Raw genomic sequence first — 17942 nt, 5'->3', positions numbered from 1 at the left:
CCTTCTGTACTTTTATATGTGCACAACCATTTCCATGCTGGTTGCCTCCCCCTACTTCAGCTCTTAAAAACATATACATTCTCCCACCATGGCTGCCAATCTCAAAGATATTACTAAGGCATGTTCCCTTTGCACTCAGACTTCCCCTCAGAAAGCTATCAAATCACCCCCTTTCCCCACACACCAGGCCTGAGGACACCTGCCAGGGCAGGACTGGGAAATCGCCTTCACCTGCATGCCCCCTGTAAAATGAGTCCAGAACCTTCTGACAATAGTAGATACACTGGATGGATAGAGGGGTTTCCTACCACCACTACTACTACTACTGAAAAGCCACACTGTTGCTTCTATTCTCCTCACACATATTATCCCCCGGTTTGGACTCCCCTCTTTCATCCAGTCAGACAACGGGCCAACATATGTTTCACAGGTTAGCCAACAGCTGGCAAAGGCTCTAAACATTAAATGGGCCTTCCATATTCCTTATTGACCCTCATCTTCAGGTAAGATTGAATGGTCCAATGCCCTTCTAAAACAACAATTATCCAAACTCTCCCTAGAGGTTAAAATGGCCTAAACTTTACTACTCCCCATGGCCCTCATGCATTTATAAGCCATTCCTCACAAGCCCCTCAGCATAAGCCCATTTGAACATATGTATGGATGCCCCTTTATCCTCCAAAATCTCCCTGTATCTCCCCGCCCTTCTGCATGGGGTACTTGGCCAGCATTACACCTCACTCACCATCTAATAGACAGTACACTAACGCTTACTTGCCGCCGCCTGAAAGTCCATCCTCAAAACACTCCTCCCTGTCCCTACAACCAGGGGGGACTGGGTCTGGATCACAGACCCCTCCTCCTCCCCTCTCCTACCAAAGTGGACGGGTCCTCACCAGGTTATTCTAGCTACTCCCACGGCAGCAAAGCTAACACCCTTCCCACACTGGATACACAATTCCAAACTAAAAAAACCTCCAGATTCACATCCAGAAAATTTCTCCCCCCACAAAAACTATTCTTCCTCCCTCACAGGACCAACCTCACTGCGCTTAACAAGGGTGCAGAAGTTGCCTATCCAGAAGGCCCTGGTCCGTAACACTCTCTGCCTCCAATTTCAAATATTTTATCTCATACCTTGTTTCAGATCTTTCCCTCCCCACGTCCCTGGATACTCCACTCGAATTCCTCACATCAATCCAGGAGCTATGGCTACAGGGTACCTTTCAGAATTTCACTCCTACTCAAATTGCCTTTTTTCATTTTGTCCTTTGTGGGATATGCTAAGTCCTCACCCCCAACCTCTGGCAGTCGGGCCCCTTCATCAGCCTCACACATTTCTCTTAAATCAGTCACACTCCCCTCTTTCTTCCAACTGTAAATTTGTTTGTCCACACAAATCCAGCAGTTCACAGCCCTTCCTGTTAATCTAACTGCAGAAACTTGGCCCAAAATAAACCTGCATCTCACCTACTTGGCCAATTCATTCCCAAAACCTGTTTATAATCTTGTTCGGCTAAACACCTTTCCCCGCAATCCATCATATCCACCCACACCGTCACACACAGGGCTGTCACTCTCCTTTGCCTCTTAACATCTAAACATGTTACAAGTTGGATTCCATAGAACACCTCTTATCAACCCCTCCCCTCTCTGCCAGCACTGCTCTCCGTGTAACCAACTCAAGGGCGCTCCCTGGAAAAAATGCACACACAATTCCCTCAGCTGCAACCTATATCCTTCTGCCCTACCCGTACTGCAGTAGCTACTTGTTAACGAAAACCTATTTCTGTCTCTCTCCAAAACCAAACAGCCTTCACCTCCTCCCCCACCAACATCCCCTATCCGGCCCTCACAGGGGTTACCCTTGTTAACAGCTATTCAACCTGGAAAAACAAAAAGTTGGAACAAAACCTTTGTCCAGGATTCACCCCTGATCTTCTCATAGCTCGCTACCTTCACTTACAACTTTTGCCTGCCAACCCCCCCAACCCCCCTTTTCTTTCTGTATGAAACAAACTTATCTTTGTCTGCCGGCAGGTGGGTTACAAACATACACCCTGGTGTTTCAATCTCCAAACGTTGACATTTTGCCTAACAACCAAACCATTGAGGCTCTCCCTATTTCCTCCTCCTCCGAGCACGCTAAGCCAGCTCTACATCTCCTTCTTCTGGTAACAGGATTAAGCCTCTCTGTCGCACTTGGCACCACAATGGCGGGTCGGGTGTATCAGCCTCAGCTGCCTTATATAGATATATAAATCTCTGCAGTCCTCTTGACATGCCTACTTCCATCACAAGCCTCCAAAGGCAGGTAGGTTCCCCTGTGGGAGTTGTTCTCCAGAACCGAAGGGCCGTAGACCTGTCAGCCACTGAGAAGGGGCGCACATGTGTGTATCTCTAAGAAGGAGGCTGTTTAAATGTTCACGAATACGGCACTGTTTGAGACACAGCCCGCAGGCTCCGAGACGGGTCTGCAGAAATCCAACATCAAGCCACTAACTCTTAGAGGCAGGGGTCATCCCTCCTAAAGTGGATGCCTTGGGTAACCTCTTCTTAGGGCCCCTAATTTTCTTCTTCCTAACAGTTGGCCTGTGTGTACTCACCTTCATATCCCACTTCACCTCCCAAAGGCTGAACTCCCTTGTCCAGGCAGCCACCCAGAAAGACACTGATACCATCCCACTCCGCCAAGTCCAGTATCAGCGCCGCCAGGAAAGCAACTCAGAAGTCAGACACCCACTGCTTCAAAACCCAAACCCTGATTACAGCACCACTATTCAGCAGGAAGCAGCCAGATAATCAACAACCACGCTCTTCCCTTTATATTAAAGTAGAAGGTGGCCAGGCGCGGTGGCTCACGCCTGTAATCCCAGCAGTTTGGGAGGCTGAGGCAGGCAGATCACTTGAGGTCAGGAGTTTGAGACCAGCCTGGCCAACATGGTGAAACCCCATCTCTACTGAAAATACAAAAATTAGCCGGGTGTGGTGGCGGCCACCTGTAGTCCCAGCTACTCAGGAGGCTGAGGCAAGAGAATCGCTTGAACCCGGGAGGCAGAGGCTGCAATGAGCCAAGATTGCACCACTGCATTCCAGCCTGGGCGACAGAGTGAGACTCTGTCTCGAAAAAATAAAAAAAGTATAAAGCAAGAATGTTAGTCCAACCTGCACAATTTTGTAAGTCCCCCACCATTTCGCAGACCTTGGTCAAAATGAAACATTCCACGGGGGTTTGGGTGGTGAGAAACAGCCTGCCTCTTATATTCTGCTGGGAGAAAGTGCAAAGAACACCACATTCTGCCGGAACAAGGGCCAGAACCACCTCATCCTAAGAACACATTATCAACATTTTCCCAGGAAGCAGGCCATGACCCCCTGCCCCGACCCCTCCCACTCAGGCCTATAAATTGCCCCAGCCTGTAAGCGGCAATGGGCTCTGGGACTAAGCTGGTCGCCCATCTCCACAGGTTTTTGCAATATACCTGTGTTGCTGTTAAGCCACCCTCTGTCTCTGTGTGTGTGTCATTCTTTAACCCTCATCTTCCCTTCAAAACCCAACATCACCCAGGCTGGAGTGCAGTGGTGCAATCTCAGGTCACTGCAACCTCCACCTCCTAGGCTCAAGCAATCCTCCCACCTCAGCCTCCCAAGTAGCTGGGACTAGAGGCACGTGCCACCATGCCCGGCTAATTTTTTTGTATTTTTTGTAGACACAGGGTTTTGCCATGTTGCCCAGGCTGGTGTCAAACTCCTGGACTCAAGCCATCCTCCTGCCTCAGCCTCCCAAAGTGCTGGGATTTCAGGTGTGAGCCACCACACCCAGCCAGTTCTAATTCTTACCAGTTCAGAGAACCCTGGTTCCCATGGGTCTTTCTTCCTGAAAAGAAACTCAGAAGGAAGTGGTTAGTTGGATTAGCTACAGTCTTCATCACTGGAACTGGTCTCAGGGCTGAAATGTTCTCTTCTTTTCTGTTCATTACTCATCCTGAAATTACCTCAACTGTCAACACAGTGGACCTCGGTGGGTCCCTGGGTTTGAGAAGCTCAAATGTCCTTGTAGCAACTGTAGCTTATTCAGTGGGATCCTTGCTGTGTGCTCCTGGGGAACTGGACCTCCAACCCTACAAAGTCTAGAACCATGTAGAGAGGAAACACAAAATCTCCCAGTAGGTTATGGGAGAGTCTGGGTGAATTGGGCCACTCCTGCTTCAAATCTTAGTTTCCCAGACTCATGTGTTCTTTCTGTTGGGAACACAGCACCATAAAAAGTATCCAAATTAATGCATGGCATCCCAAAGGATGGTGCCATCCTTTCAGAGCAGAGCATCCAAGCTGCTGCTTCAGCTGAGCCTCTAGAAGGCCAGTGCAGAGTTGCATGAGGCTGGCTGCTACAATACAGGTGGGTCCCATTAGGATGCCGCTGTGTGAGGATTCATGCCTCTGAATGAAGCAACCTAAGCCCCAGACAATGGTGTGGGCTGAGGCTCTGTAGGAAAGGCCAGCTGGTACCTGAAATAGGCATCCATCTGTGTGAGAAAAAACTGCCAGCCTTTCCAGGATAGAAAGGGCATGGCATCAACTCTGTTATGGACAATTTGGACATCCAGAGGTGGCAGCTGCCAGACAGGCCCTGGTAAGGGAGTTCATGCTCCTCCTGCCTCGGCCTCCCAATGTGCTGGGATTACAGACACGAGTCACTGCGCCTGGCAGCGTGAGACCCAGGGTGAAGGAGGTCTTCCATATGGAGTCTTTATTTTTGTCACCAGGGTCACCCCTTTCATGTTCCAGAGTGGCTGACAGTGAGGACTGGTGTCCACTGGTGAGTTATTTTGTCTGCTTGGTTGTTCCGTGCCTCATGTGTGCTGGATGCCTTGGTGGGCACTGATATGTGCGAACACCTCCCCACTCTGTGCCCCTCCTTTGTGTTCACCACTGCCTCAGCCCAGACCTGGTCTGCAGGCTCCTTTTCCTTCTGGCCCCCCCAGAAGGTGGGGACACAAGGCCACTGCCCAGAAGTCTGGGCATTCTCACCTCAGGCCACTTCTGCTTGCAGATGGTGGGGTGACCGGGCATGCCGCCTGCAGTTCTGCCCACTGGGAAGGTTTTCCTTCCCACCCTTGAAAGTGGCAGTAACACAGCTGCTGTGTGCCATGCAGTGAGCCCATCCATCTGCAAATCACACTCCTTCAGCCACACAGGAACCCTCTGCAGCTGTAGGCTTGAGCTGCATTTTATGTGTGCCATGCACTGAACCCATCCATCTACAAATCAAACTCCTTCAGCCACGCAGGAACCCTCTGCAGCCATAGGCTTGAGCTGAGGGAGGCATGTGGGCTAGACTGCCTGCTCCCTCAGCTCACTCTGGCACTCTGGCCCTGCATGGACGCCGTCCTGGCCATGCCATTGCCACCTTCTGATGGATGCTGCTGGGCTGCCTGACTTCATGCCTGGGGAGGCCTGACAGAGCTCAGCTCACACTGGGAAGTGTGGATGCAGGGCCATTTGGGGGTCCCATGGACAAGTGTTCTATTCTCTGCTGCAGGTGGTGCAGACTTGCTCTGGGATCCTGGGGCCTGCGTGGCCATCCTTGCACCTTTCAAATGCTTGCATCATTGTCCCTTGCACAGACTCCCTTCTGCTGAGACATTTTGTCAGGTCATGAGGGAAAGCTTAGCAGTGAAGCCACCACCTTGTGCCAGGGACCGTCAGTGCCCCACCTCCTAACCAGAACAGCACCCTCTTCACCTGCAGACAGTGGGTGGGCCAATCCCAAATGTCCATCTGATCACCAGTTTTCTCAAGCTGCTTCTGGCCCATTTGTGTTGGTCTGGGTCCTCCAAGAAGAAGACACCAAGATTAAGGATACAAACGTCGTGTTCAGAGAAATGTCTGGGGTAGAAAATAGTGAGGTAACCAGGAAGATGGAGGGGCCATCAGATGGCTTCAAGCTTGACACCAAGTGGAGAGAAGTTTGGGTGGAAGTGTCTCAGGCAGCTCTGCGGTGATGCCTTCCCACCGCAGCTGACAGTTGGAGAATGACATTGGTTTGTGCCATTACTTGTGGTTTTGTCTTAGATCATTTGACCAGGGTGCTGTTTGCCTGGTTTGTCTCCTGTGAAGTTACCTTATTCCCCTTTGTAATTAATAATAATTACATTGCATGGTGATGTTTTGACACTGTGTAAACATCCTGAGCCTCATGCCCTGGAGACACCTGGCTTTCACAGGTATTGGTGCTTCTTGCCTGAGTTACCACCATGGTGGCTGCTGTGGCTGACTGAGGATGCCACAGGTTCTTTGGCCTCCCTCCCTTTGAGAGCAGGAGCAATATCTTCAATGTCTTCTTGAATCTGGGCAGGCTCAGTCACTGCCTTGACCAAGAGAATGATGATAATTTGAGAAAAAATTTCCAAAAGGACTGCATATAAACATTAAACTTCAGGGTCCTGAAAGTCCAGGAGATGGAGAGGCTGTTCTAGACTGAAGGAGACAAGAAACAGGACAAGTGGGTGCAACTTGTGACCCTCGGCCGATTCCTGATGCTCTGAGGGATTGCTCCGCAGTAAGCAGGTCACACAAACCTACCCCCAAAGGCCAAGGGAGCTGAGAGGCTGAAAAAAGAGGCTGACAAATGGAGTTTCTCCAAAAGAAACATTTACTAGAAACTTATGAACAAAGTAGTATCTCGGGCAGCCACAAGACAGTGGATCCCTGCACCTGCCCCCCAGAAAGCATCCTTTATATAGCAAGCTTTTTGGTAAAAACATGTGCAGCTGGTGATGTCTTAGACTTTCTTGCAAAATTCATGACTGCTGGGGAAGTTAGGTAGCATCTTTCTGAGGGGTTATCAATGCTACAGGCCTTGTGTGAAGACCTTGGTATGCAGGAGTCTAACATCGGCCACCACAGTGATTTTGCTTCGAGATGACACCACTCTTGCCAGGCAACAGGCTCCTTTCCTTCAGAGACATTGCAGGGACACCTGGTGACCCTTGAATGGGGGTCTCTGGGAAGGTGCACTATTCATGCAACCTTTTATCTAAGCTTGAAATTGTTTCAAGCTAAATTAACTTACAAATGTTGATCATAGTAAGGAAGGAGACCACCACTTCTCCTACTGCCCTCCTCTCCCCCTGTCTTGCCTAGTTTATAAGACAGGAGAAATGGGAGAAAACAAAAAGTGAGAAAGAAACAGAAGATAAATAGCCAGATGACCTTGGTGCCATCACCTGGCCCTGGTGTTAATAATATCAACCCCTAACCTAAACTACTTGTGTTATCTGTAAATTCCAGACATTGTATAAGAAAGCATTGTAAAACTTTCTGTTCTGTTAGCTGATGCTTGTAGCCTCCAGTCATGTTCTCCATGCTTTCCCAGTCTATCATAATAACCCTTTCACGTGGACCCTTTAGGGTTGTAAGCCCTTAAAAGGGCCAGTAATTTCTTTTTCGAGGAGCTCAGCTCTTAAGACACAAGTCTGCCAAAGCTCCCAGCCAAATAAAACCCCTTCCTTCTTTAACCCAGTGTCTGAGAAGTTTTGTCTGTGGCTCATCCTGCTACAATAAGATGAGAGTTCTCCAGGCACTCCAGGCACTCTGGCCTTTGGGTGGGAACTGTCTCCAAAACTCACCCCCAGGTTCCTGGCTCTCCTCACTTCAGGAGGGGGTGGGTCTGCCACGTAACCACCGCCCAGACCTCACAAGTGATAGCACTTCACCTTTTTGCTTCAGATATTTTAAAGAGAAATAACACCTTACAGATGCAGTCTCTTTCTAAACTTCCCAGATCCATTCCCTTTAAACAATCCTCCCTCAGCATGGTTTTTAGACTTGATTTGTTTTGTCTTAGAAATGGAGTCTTGCCATGTTCCCCAGGCTGGTCTCAAATTCCTGAACTGAAGTGGTCCTCACTCTGCCTCTCAAATAGCTGGGACTATAGGTTGCCCTCACCTCCTGCTGTGAGGTCAGTTCCTAACAGGCCACTGACCTGTAGCGGTCCACAGCCTGAGGGTTGGGGACCCCTGCTATAGGTGCACACCACCACACCTGTTTTTTTTTTTAATTTTGTAAAAATGAAGCCTTGATATGTCGCCCAGGCTGGTCTTGAACTCCTAGCCTCAAGTGGTCCTCCCACCTAGTCCTCATAAAGTACTGGGATTGTAGGCATGAGCCACTGCACCCAGTCTCCACTCCTATTTATTATTGAACACTATTCCATTGTATGGCTGATGTGGTTTGCATCTGTGTCCCCGCCCAAACCTCATGCTGAAAGGTAATACCCAATGCTGGAGGTGGAGACTGGTGGGAAGTGATTGGATCGTGGGGGTGGCTTTTCATGAATGGTTTAGTACCATGCCCTTAAGTTATGGTCTCATGATAGAGTTCTCCTGAGATCTGGTTGTCCACCTCCGCCTCCCAAAGTGCTGGGATTACAGGCGTGAGCCACCGCACCCAACCTGTCATTTTTATTATAACCCTTCTAATGGTATGAAATGGCACCTCCCCGTGGCTTCCATTCGCATTTCTCTAATAGCCAACAATGCCGAAGGCTTCATGTACCCATTACCCACTTTGTATCTTCCTTGATGTCTACTCACATCTTCTGCCCATTTAATTAGGTTGTTTCCCTTTTCAGAGTTTTTTTTTTTTTTTTAAGTTTTATTGGGCTATAATTCACATACCATATAATTCACCCATTTTGTACAATTCAATGATTTTGGCATATTATTTTTTAACTATGGTAAAGTACATGTTAAATAAAATGGCTCGGCCATTGTTTCGGACCGAGCTCCTGCGCTAGGGCCCAACAGAGCAGCCCAAAGCGGAACCGAGTCACGCGCGCCGGACGCCACCCGACAGGAGGGGAAACGGGGCAGCTCTCAAAACCCTGGAGGCGCAGACCGTCCACACGGGACAGGGACGCCCGCTCGGCTCCGCTCCGCGCTGATCCTCAAGGTCTCGCGGTTTCCCCGCCGCCCACCCGGACGCCGACGAAAGCCAGCGAGCTCCTCAGCCTCAGGTGACTGGAATTCTGACCCCAGACCACGGGACGCGTTCTCCCGCTTTACCCTCACTCTGCGCGGGCGGGGAGGGAGACGCGGGCGCAGGCCGCAGTTTCTACCTCAGAAACGGAAACACAACACCGCCTTCTTTTTCTTTGGGGAAAGAAAAAAAAAAAACTGTCTAAGACGAGGTCTGGGACCCCGCCGGCGACCCCCGATTCCCCCGGGCGGGGAGGGGGCGGGACCTGGCGCGGCCTCGGCTCCGCCCCTCGGGCCAGCGGACCACAGTGGGGCGGTCATTGCTGCCTTCCTAGAGCGGCCCGGAAGTGGCTCTCAGGGCGCTTCCGGGGACCAGGCCCGCTTTTGGCTGCATCAGCCGGGGATTGCCGGCGCCAGGTGCTGGGGGCGACTCGGACAGCGGGAGCGTGGGGTGGAGTAGGATGGAGTCTCCCTCCCGAGCTGGGGGTGTGGGCCTAGGAAAGGCTGCTTCGCCGCTGTGTTCGGAGAGCTCTGGATACTGCGGGGCTTTTCCGCGGAGGAGCGCCCGCCGGTAGGTTGGCCCCGAACCGTGGGGGCGGCGACGGCCGAGTGCCAATTTGACTCTGTGCACCAAGGTCCCCGCGCCCCGGAACGGGCGACGCCGCGCCCCCATCAGAGCCGCGGGTACGGAGTCAGGGTGCGAACCCGGCCTTCCAAGCCGCGCGACCGGAAGCGGGCAGCTCGGAGGCCTTCCCGGATGGCTCTTTGGAGTGGGAAGGAGCTCCTGGTGCTGGCGGGACGGTGAAGGAGTTGGCAGTGGGTGGTCGTTGACTCCCAGGGAGAATGGGGCGCCGTGAAGCCCGTGGGGAGCTCCTGGGCTCCCCCAGCGCTGTGCAGAGTGGCCTGACAAGTGCCTCGAGGACAGGAGCTGTGCCCCGCTGAGCTCTGCTCCAGTACCTGGTGTGCTGAGGTGGGCACGTGCGTTTCCTCTGGCATAGCAGGTGCTTGTGCTGCTGCACTGCTCCTTCAGGTGCGTCGGAACCCTCTTTAGTTGCCGCACTTGCCTCTGTTGCCAGCCGTTGCTCAGCTCTTCCAGCCCGGGGGTTGGGGCTGTGGTGGAAACAGCTGGGACTTCTGAATAGACAGGTCTAGGCTTCAGTCCTTGACTTTGGCAGCTGTGTTTAGAGCTTTGATTTCTTTTTACTTTTCTTTTCTTCTTCCCTGCCTCCCCTCCCTCCCCCCTCCCTCCATTCGTTCGTTCCTTCCTTCCTTCCTCACAGCATCTCTGTTGTCCAGGCTGGAGTGCAGCGGCTCGATTTCGTCTCACTGCAGCCACGACTTCCTGGGCTCAAGGGATCCTCTGTCCTCTCAGCCTTCTGAGTAGCTGGGACTACAGACGTGCACCACCACGCCTGGCTAGTTTTTTAAATTTTTTGTAGAAACGGGGTCTTGCTATGATGCCCAGGTTGGTCTCCAACTCCTGGGCTCAAGCGATCCGCTGGCCTCACCTTCACAAAGTGCTGAGATTTCAGGCTTGAGCCACTGCACCTGGCCTAGAGCCTTATCTCCCTCTCTGTCAGGTGAGAATGGTAATTCTTCTTGCCCACTGTTGTGAAGGATTCAAGATTGAATAGTTAAATGGTCTCAGTGTGGTCTGTGGCGCCAGCTGCAGTGTCCCTGTGTTCCCCGGACCGTTCCCCTAGTTCATTCTTTCATCTATTAATTTACTTGGAGAACTTGTGCTGTTTCCTGGTCCTCCTCCCTGCCCCCTACTTCTCTGCCAATTCCTGCTTGTCCTTCATGCCTTAGATGTCACTTCCTCTGGGAGGCCTCCGCTCCTCCTGGGACTGACATGGACCCCTCTGCCACCTGCTTCCAGGGCCATCTCCGCAGCACTGACTGTCATTGGTAGTTCACACTGTCAGCATGCTGATGATGGGGACCATATCAACCCTCACTCGCTGGCCCAAAGGATGTGAGAGTCACTGGTCTTCTCTCCTCCACCCCACTCTAGGCATCTGCATCTGGGACCGACCTCCTGGGCTGGCTGATCAAAGAGGAAGCAGCAGCAATGTCTGCTGTGGGGGCTGCAACTCCATACCTGCATCATCCTGGTGATAGTCACAGTGGCCGAGTGAGTTTCTTGGGGGCCCAGCTTCCTCCAGAGGTGGCAGCAATGGCCCGGCTACTAGGGGACCTAGACAGGAGCACGTTCAGAAAGTTGCTGAAGTTTGTGGTCAGCAGCCTGCAGGGGGAGGACTGCCGAGAGGCTGTGCAGCGTCTTGGGGTCAGCGCCAACCTGCCGGAGGAGCAGCTGGGTGCCCTGCTGGCAGGCATGCACACACTGCTCCAGCAGGCCCTCCGTCTGCCCCCCACCAGCCTGAAGCCTGACACCTTCAGGGACCAGCTCCAGGAGCTCTGCATCCCCCAAGACCTGGTCGGGGACTTGGCCAGCGTGGTATTTGGGAGCCAGCGGCCCCTCCTTGATTCTGTGGCCCAGCAGCAGGGGGCCTGGCTGCCGCATGTTGCTGACTTTCGGTGGCGGGTGGATGTAGCAATCTCCACCAGTGCCCTGGCTCGCTCCCTGCAGCCGAGCGTCCTGATGCAGCTGAAGCTTTCAGATGGGTCAGCATACCGCTTTGAGGTCCCCACAGCCAAGTTCCAGGAGCTGCGGTACAGCGTGGCCCTGGTCCTAAAGGAGATGGCAGATCTGGAGAAGAGGTGTGAGCGCAGACTGCAGGACTGACCCCTCACTTGACCAGTCCCATTCAGATCCGGCTTGGACAGGCACCTGAGATGGTGCCAAAGTGCAGCTGACTCTTCCCACGACAGCCCTGCCCTTCCCATGAGGCAGGCTCTTCAGTGAGTGTTTGAACGTAATTATGTAGTTTTCTGTTTAATTGAAAAAGAGAGCTATGCCTTTTTTTCTTTTTGGAAGTAAAGCAGCTAAAAACATGTTTCTATAGGTGAGTGTTGGACCTCACACCCTCCCCTTCCCTGTACATTTGTCTTTGGTGCTGGACGTGGCCATGTGAGGCCAGGTTGAGGCCCTTTGTAGACAACATACAGTTGCTCAGCCTGGCCCCATGTAGCCAGGTGCTTTTGTAGATCTTGTGTTTTAGGTTGGGCATTTTCACTCTTCTGCCTTAAATCCCTGACCCCATGGAGCTGACATTCTAGTGCGGCTGAGGGGAGGGGAAACATTGTAAAATAAATCATAAAAATTAACTGGAATAGCTCATCAGAGGATGGCGTGTGATGCAGCAAGTAGGGTGGGGTCTGCGTGCTGATGGGGCGACCTTCCTTGAGGGTGTGACATCTGAGCGAGGACTTGAAGGAGCCGGGGGCACAGCGCTCTGAGGGGAGCAGCACAAGGTGGGGAGGACGGGGCTCAGGCGGCCAGTGTGGGGAGGCCTGACGTGCTTAAGGCCCGCCTGGCTGCAGCCAAGCAGGTGGAGATCATTGTGGGGAGGCGACGTTGGGGAGGGTACAGAGGTCAAGGCCTGAGAGCCTTTTAAGGACTTTGGCTCAATTCTGAGTGACAGAGGAGCCCTTCTGAGGGTTTTCAGCAGAGGAGAGACGTGATCTGGTGATTGGCTGCTGTGTGGAGGGGTGCAAGGGAGGAGGCTAGAGCCCAGCAGAGAGGCTGTCACCAGGGTGGAGTTGGTGGCAGGGACCTCTCCCGGGTGCCTCTAGGGCAGGTGTGTGCAGGGGTTGTAGCCAGCTTTGCAGCTTCCAGCATAACTGTGTTCCAGGAGGGGCCTTGGTGCTCGGTCTCTGCAGAGCCATTTTCGGTCAGCTGGCTTCCAGCTGACTGTTCCTGCCTCCGTGGAGCACTTCTGGACCATGTCTAGTCTGTTCTCTGCTGAGAAACCTCCCCTTGTCTTTGAGTGCCTGGGGTTGCTTGGCTGTTTGTCTTGTCTGCAGTTTTTGGGTTGTCTCCTCCACTAGCCTGGATTTCTTCCTCATCCCTCCATGGGCAGTTCTGACATGTCAGGGTACAGAGGAGTACCTGGGGGTGGGGTCAGTAGACTCTGGGAGGAGCCCAGGTGCCCTCTAAGGTGCATGCTTGTGGGTCCTGCCATCTGGTCGATCACTCAGCTTTGTCCCACCCTCACTGAGTTCCAGGTAAAGCCCTTCTCTCTCCCCGAAGGCACTGTCCCCCCACTGTCATCGGATCAGGAATATGACCAGCCACTTCCTGCATTCTCTGTCCCCAGATGTGGATGGGGCTGGGGCAGCTGGGACCATGTTGCCTTTCTCACTCACTGGCCCTGGCCCTGCAGGAACAGCAGCTTTAGGGACAGCCCCATCCTTCTGCTTCTCCCAGCTGCTTAGCAAAGCCTGTGTGGAGCCCAGAGCATGGACCTGCCCTCGGTCCTCAGGCTGACCTCTCGCCGTCTCTCATTGGGAATCTGTGTTTGCCTCAATTCATCTGTGAACCCTTGGGCTTGTCTCAAGCGGGGACCCAGGCAAATCAAGACACAGCCATGAAAAGACAGCTTATGAGACACAGGCAGGGGAGTGGGCCATTCCTGGGACTGGGGCTGGCACTGCCCGAGTATAGGGGATTGAGGGATGGGGGATCAAGTGCAGGGACAGCGGCTGGCCTCAAGGCCACACACAGGATTTTGGTCATTCCACTGGGGCAAGGGGGAGCAGTGGGGTTTTAATCAGGGCAGACATGATCCAGTTGGACTTGAGATCCCTACAGCGTGGAGCAGACTTAGAGGCCACTTCCTCTGACTCAGCAGTGAGCAAACTCTTCCCACAAAGGGCCAGAGAGTAAACATTTTAGATTTTGTGGGCCATGAAGTTTCTGTCCACCCTGCCATGGTGGCTTGAAAGCAGTCACACAATACGTAAACAAATGTATATGGCTGTGTTCCAATACCATCTTTTTTTTTTTTTGAGACGGGAGTTTCACTCCTGTTGCCCAGGCTGGTGTGCAGTGGCACGATCTCGACTCATTGCAACCTCTGCCTCCCAGGTTCAAGCAATTCTCATGTCTCAGCCTCCCAGGCAGCTGGGATTACAGGCATGAGCCACCGAGCCTGGCCTCCAATGATATTTTTTTAATGGATATTGAAATTTTCCTTTTTTTTTGAGACAAGGTCTCCCCATCATCCAGTCTGGAATGCAATGGCACGATCATGGCTCACTGTAGCCTCAACCTCCTGGGCTCACAGGCACACCACACCACACCCGGCTAATTTTCAGATTTTTTGTAGAGATGGGGTTTTGCCACGTTGCCCAGGCTGGTCTTGAATTCCTGGGCTCTGGTGATCTGCCCACCTCGGCCTCCCAAAGTGCTGGTTTTACAGCAATGAGCCACCACACCCAGCCATGAAATTTTAATTTCATGTGTCACAAAGTATTTTTTTCCATTGAAAAACCATTCTTAGTCCAGGCATGGTTGGCGCCAACCCCATGAGCCCACTGGACCCCTCCAGTACAGAGCACCTGTCCATCCTTGTCAGTGGCCAGTCTCCATTAGACCTGGACTCCAGGGCAGAGGCCAGCCCTGTCCATCTTTGTCCCCGTGGCTTGCACAAGGCCTTGCACAGAGAACGGATGTCTGCATCTGGGAAATTACTCCCTTGGTTTTCTTGGCCTTAGTTCTCTGTGGAAACTTGCTGGTGATTTCCCTCTCCTGTGGCACTGTCCTGAGCTCAAAGCCTGGATGCCTCCCCACCTGCATCACTCACTCATTCAGCAAACATTTCTGGGGCTCTGAGTCAAGCTGCATGCACTGGGGACTTGAGGATTTATAAAATGGCCTGGACCCGGCCCTTGCTCTGCTTCACTTTGTGAAGCTTCCAGAAAGGTCCAGATAGTTTCAATTCAGTGTCATAAATGAAAGATTATTCTGATAGTTGAGATAAAAAGCAATTCCAGGCCTAGGTTATAGATTTAATTTATTGTCTCCAAAACAGAAACCCAAAATGTTTTTATTTATATATTGTGGAGACAGGGCCTCACTCTGTCACCCAGGCTAGAGTGCAGTGGTGCGATCACAGCTCACTGTGGTCTCCGAACTCCTGGGGTCACGTGATCCTTCCTTGGCCTCTCAAAGTGCTGGAATTACAGGCGTGAGCCACCGTGCCTGGCCTGGAAACTCTTTAGATGAGCTTACCGAAGCCCGAATTGCAGTGCAGTGTGAACAGGTTAACAGGATATTCTAGCACCTGCACTACCCCATGAGCAGCCCCTCTTCCTCTCCCTCTCCACAAAAGAACCACCAGCCTGTGTGCCAGGGGCCACCTGGATGCTTCCATGTGATACTCAGATCTCAAAGCTGTGCAGTAGCTTGAATTTAAGTCATGTGCTCACACCCTTGGCTCTCAGCAAGCTGCCCCATGGACATGATGTGTCATTTCCACATCGTGCAGCTAGAAGAGGACTCCTCCTCAGCTCGGCATGGTGGCTCACGCCTGTCATCCCAGCACTTAGGGAGGCCGAGGCGGGCGGATCACGAGGTCAGAAGATCGAGACCAGCTGGCTAACACAGTGAAACCCCGTCTCTATTAAAAATACAAAAAAATTAGCCGGGCGTGGTAGCAGGCACCTGTAGTCCCAGCTACTCGGGAGGCTGAGGCAGGAGAATGGCGTGAACCCAGGTGGCGGAGCTTGCAGTGAGCCGAGACCGCACCACTGCACTTCAGCCTGAGGGACAGAGCGAGATTCCGTCTCAAAAAAAAAGAAGACTCCTCCTCCCATCCCTCCGTGGCTAATATCTAACCTGGATTGTTGGACTTTAGGTTTACTTCTATTGAACTGACCCAGCTGCCTTATTCTCAGTTGTACCGTGACATTTAGGTAAAGAAACCACTAAGGGCTGAGAGGAAAAATAATCCTTCAGTGGCTGGAGGGCATGAAGTCATTTTCCAAGTTCAAGGTGACTTGGCTGGTGTGGTAAACACTGCTGCAGCAAGAAAGCCGCCAGAGGCTCCATGAAGACGCTTGGGCATCACCAAGCCCAGGGACACTGTGCACAGTCAAATTCGATTTTAACATAGTTTTCAAATGTCACAAGTCTCTTATTTTCTCCCCAACCATTCAGAAATGTAAAAAGCTACGAATGGTTTGCCAGCCCCTGACTTAGGACCATGTCAATCCAGAGAGAATCCAGGTGCTGAAGCAGAATGAAGCTTGCACCCCAGCCCCTTTTTGGCTGGTTGCTGTTAGTGAAAAGAACACAGCATTATGGTTAGCACAGAATCTGGAATTTTCAGACCATCCATATGGCTGACGTTCCCCTCCTTCTGTCCTGATCATGAACCAGGAAGTGGCCAAGAGGAGATGACGAGAGCCCAGGAGGAGGCAGGGTCAGTCTTTGTGAGCAGTGTTTTGGAAGGCCAGGAACAGGAGTTGCAGGCGGTGCATGTGGGTGCCTTGGCTCTTGTCCCATGGTTGGGCGGCCCAGAAAGCCTGAAGTAGAGAAAAAGCAACAGCAACCCCTGTGCTAGACCTGAAGGTGACCACCTGGCTAAGCACATTACCTGCCAAGACCCTTCTCAGCAGCCACGTGACGCAAGGCAGGGACACTGCACACATACTCCACGTGCACAGAAGTTCCGGTGTGAGTAGGGCATGGCTGGAGAAGAGGCAGTTACAGTGGATGCACTGACTCCATGGCTGTGGAGAGCACCATCACCCTTGTACACCGGGAGGAGCCCCTGAAGAGGCAGGTGGGAGGTCACCAGTCAGGAGTTCCAGGTTCCCCCTGAATGACAAGGACTGTGGAGACAGGGTTGAGGTCTTACAGTTGGCCTCATGCCTGTGAATATCAGCCTTAATTAGATGCTGTGTGAGAAAATCAAATGGACAAGGTCCCAGCCTGTTAGATTAGGGTTGAGCAGCAGATTCACGTGAAAATTCAATTTCAGCAAAAAAGCATCAGGCCTTGAGCAAGCCACCTGCCATCAGCCACGCCTCCCTCCATGTTCCTGCATGTGCCAAGAACCCCACCGTGCTCCACCTGGGCCACTTCTCAAGGTTGTGTCAGCAGCAAAAAAAAAACTGAGGGGTGAGGTAATGGCCCCCCAGCTCCCAACAGAGCAGGCTCACTCCTCACCTCCGAGTTTCTCAGCTGTGCCTGCACCTGCTGGGCCTCTGCGTCATGGGAATGGTGGGCAAAAGGAACTGATAGGGCCCTGACAACCACAGTGAGTATTCTGCCTGCCGTCCCCTCCTAGGTGGAATGGCCACAGGATTTCTCGTGAGCTTCTACAAAGAATGAAATCTCAGACCCTCAGTTCTTGGCAGTCTTTCAGGCTGAGTTTTAAGGAAAGCTGTCCCGCACCATAAATTACATCCAGACCTGTGTGGCCTCCCCTGTAAAGTAAGGCAATTGGGGTTCTCCTCCCTGACCCTGCCCCTGTTTCTCCTCCCATCTGTCCTTTCACCCTGTGGTCTGCTGGTCTACCCCCACTGCAGCTCAAGTTCTTTTCCCTACCATCGTTTTTCCCCACTTCCTCTCCCTAAGTTCTCCCCAGAGTCCTCTTTCCCCACTCCCTCTCCACCTTCTTCCTAACCCACTCTCACCCCAAGTTCTTCACTCAACCATCTTTTCTTCCCAGTATCTTCTTTCCCCACTCCCTCTCATCACCCCTTCTCAGGTTCTTCTCCCCATATTTGTTTCCCAACCACCTTCTTTCCATCCCATTTTCGTTTTTTTTTTTTTTTTTTTTTTTTTTTGATACAGAGTCACACTCTTGTCACCCAGGCTGGAGTGCAGTGGCGTGATCTTGGCTCACTGCAAGCTCTGCCTCCCAGGTTCACACCATTTTCCTGCCTAGCCTCCCAAGTAGCTGAGACTACAGGTGCCCGCCACCACGCCCGGCTAATTTTTTGTATTTTTAGTAGACACGGGGTTTCACTGTGTTAGCCAGGATGGTCTTCATCTCCTGACCTCATGATCCACCCACCTCGACCTCCCAAAGTGCTGGGATTACAGGC

At 52.2% G+C, this 17942-nt stretch overlaps 2 protein-coding genes across 15 annotated transcripts in view, besides 5 other annotated features; one reads left to right on the top strand and one right to left on the bottom strand.

The window, feature by feature from the left end:
- Positions 8723 to 8822: an enhancer, noted in NCBI's record as "active region_28107". NCBI's record gives its function as "activates an Ori minimal core promoter by ATAC-STARR-seq in GM12878 lymphoblastoid cells {active_cell/tissue: GM12878}" and the evidence as "EXISTENCE:reporter gene assay evidence [ECO:0000049][PMID:35858748]".
- COMMD5 (COMM domain containing 5) overlaps positions 8835 to 17942 on the top strand; it is a 15579-nt gene continuing 6471 nt past the window's right edge. For 2 of the 11 annotated variants that reach the window (XR_002956629.2, XR_002956628.2), the window contains exons 1-2: positions 8835 to 9019; positions 10996 to 11843. Coding sequence is in view for 4 of the 11 variants with exons in the window: in NM_001081003.3 (NP_001074472.1) it covers positions 11053 to 11727 (675 nt within the window). In the remaining 7 variants the exon portion in view is untranslated. Of the gene's footprint in view, positions 9020 to 9342; positions 10012 to 10995; positions 12216 to 17942 lie in introns of those variants that run through there. The other 9 variants (XR_007060730.1, XR_928321.4, XR_007060731.1 and 6 more) reach the window with 7 other exon arrangements.
- Positions 9113 to 9302: a silencer, noted in NCBI's record as "silent region_19714". NCBI's record gives its function as "represses an Ori minimal core promoter by ATAC-STARR-seq in GM12878 lymphoblastoid cells {active_cell/tissue: GM12878}" and the evidence as "EXISTENCE:reporter gene assay evidence [ECO:0000049][PMID:35858748]".
- Positions 9280 to 10128: an enhancer, noted in NCBI's record as "H3K27ac hESC enhancer chr8:146077648-146078496 (GRCh37/hg19 assembly coordinates)". NCBI's record gives its function as "activates a minimal SCP1, AML or CMV promoter by ChIP-STARR-seq in naive H9 embryonic stem cells {active_cell/tissue: H9 hESC(naive)}" and the evidence as "EXISTENCE:reporter gene assay evidence [ECO:0000049][PMID:30033119]".
- Positions 9373 to 9702: an enhancer, noted in NCBI's record as "active region_28106". NCBI's record gives its function as "activates an Ori minimal core promoter by ATAC-STARR-seq in GM12878 lymphoblastoid cells {active_cell/tissue: GM12878}" and the evidence as "EXISTENCE:reporter gene assay evidence [ECO:0000049][PMID:35858748]".
- Positions 11335 to 11486: a silencer, noted in NCBI's record as "fragment chr8:146076290-146076441 (GRCh37/hg19 assembly coordinates)". NCBI's record gives its function as "represses an EF-1alpha promoter that drives an FKBP-Casp9 reporter gene in an ReSE screen in phorbol 12-myristate 13-acetate-treated (for megakaryocytic differentiation) K562 erythroleukemia cells {active_cell/tissue: K562(+PMA)}" and the evidence as "EXISTENCE:reporter gene assay evidence [ECO:0000049][PMID:32094911]".
- Positions 14883 to 17942, bottom strand: part of ZNF7 (zinc finger protein 7) — a 19949-nt gene continuing 16889 nt past the window's right edge. For all 4 annotated transcript variants that reach the window (XM_047422206.1, XM_017013816.3, NM_001330623.1 and 1 more), the window contains exon 5: positions 14883 to 16412. In XM_047422206.1, coding sequence (XP_047278162.1) covers positions 16213 to 16412 — 200 coding nt within the window. In that variant the 3' untranslated portion in view covers positions 14883 to 16212. The remainder of the gene's footprint in view (positions 16413 to 17942) is intronic.

The sequence above is a fragment of the Homo sapiens genome, chromosome 8, assembly GCF_000001405.40.
Source record: "Homo sapiens chromosome 8, GRCh38.p14 Primary Assembly".
NCBI classification, from domain to species: Eukaryota; Metazoa; Chordata; class Mammalia; order Primates; family Hominidae; genus Homo; species Homo sapiens.
Note: the sequence above shows the minus strand (reverse complement) of the source record. Positions and strands in the feature narration are given on the sequence as shown.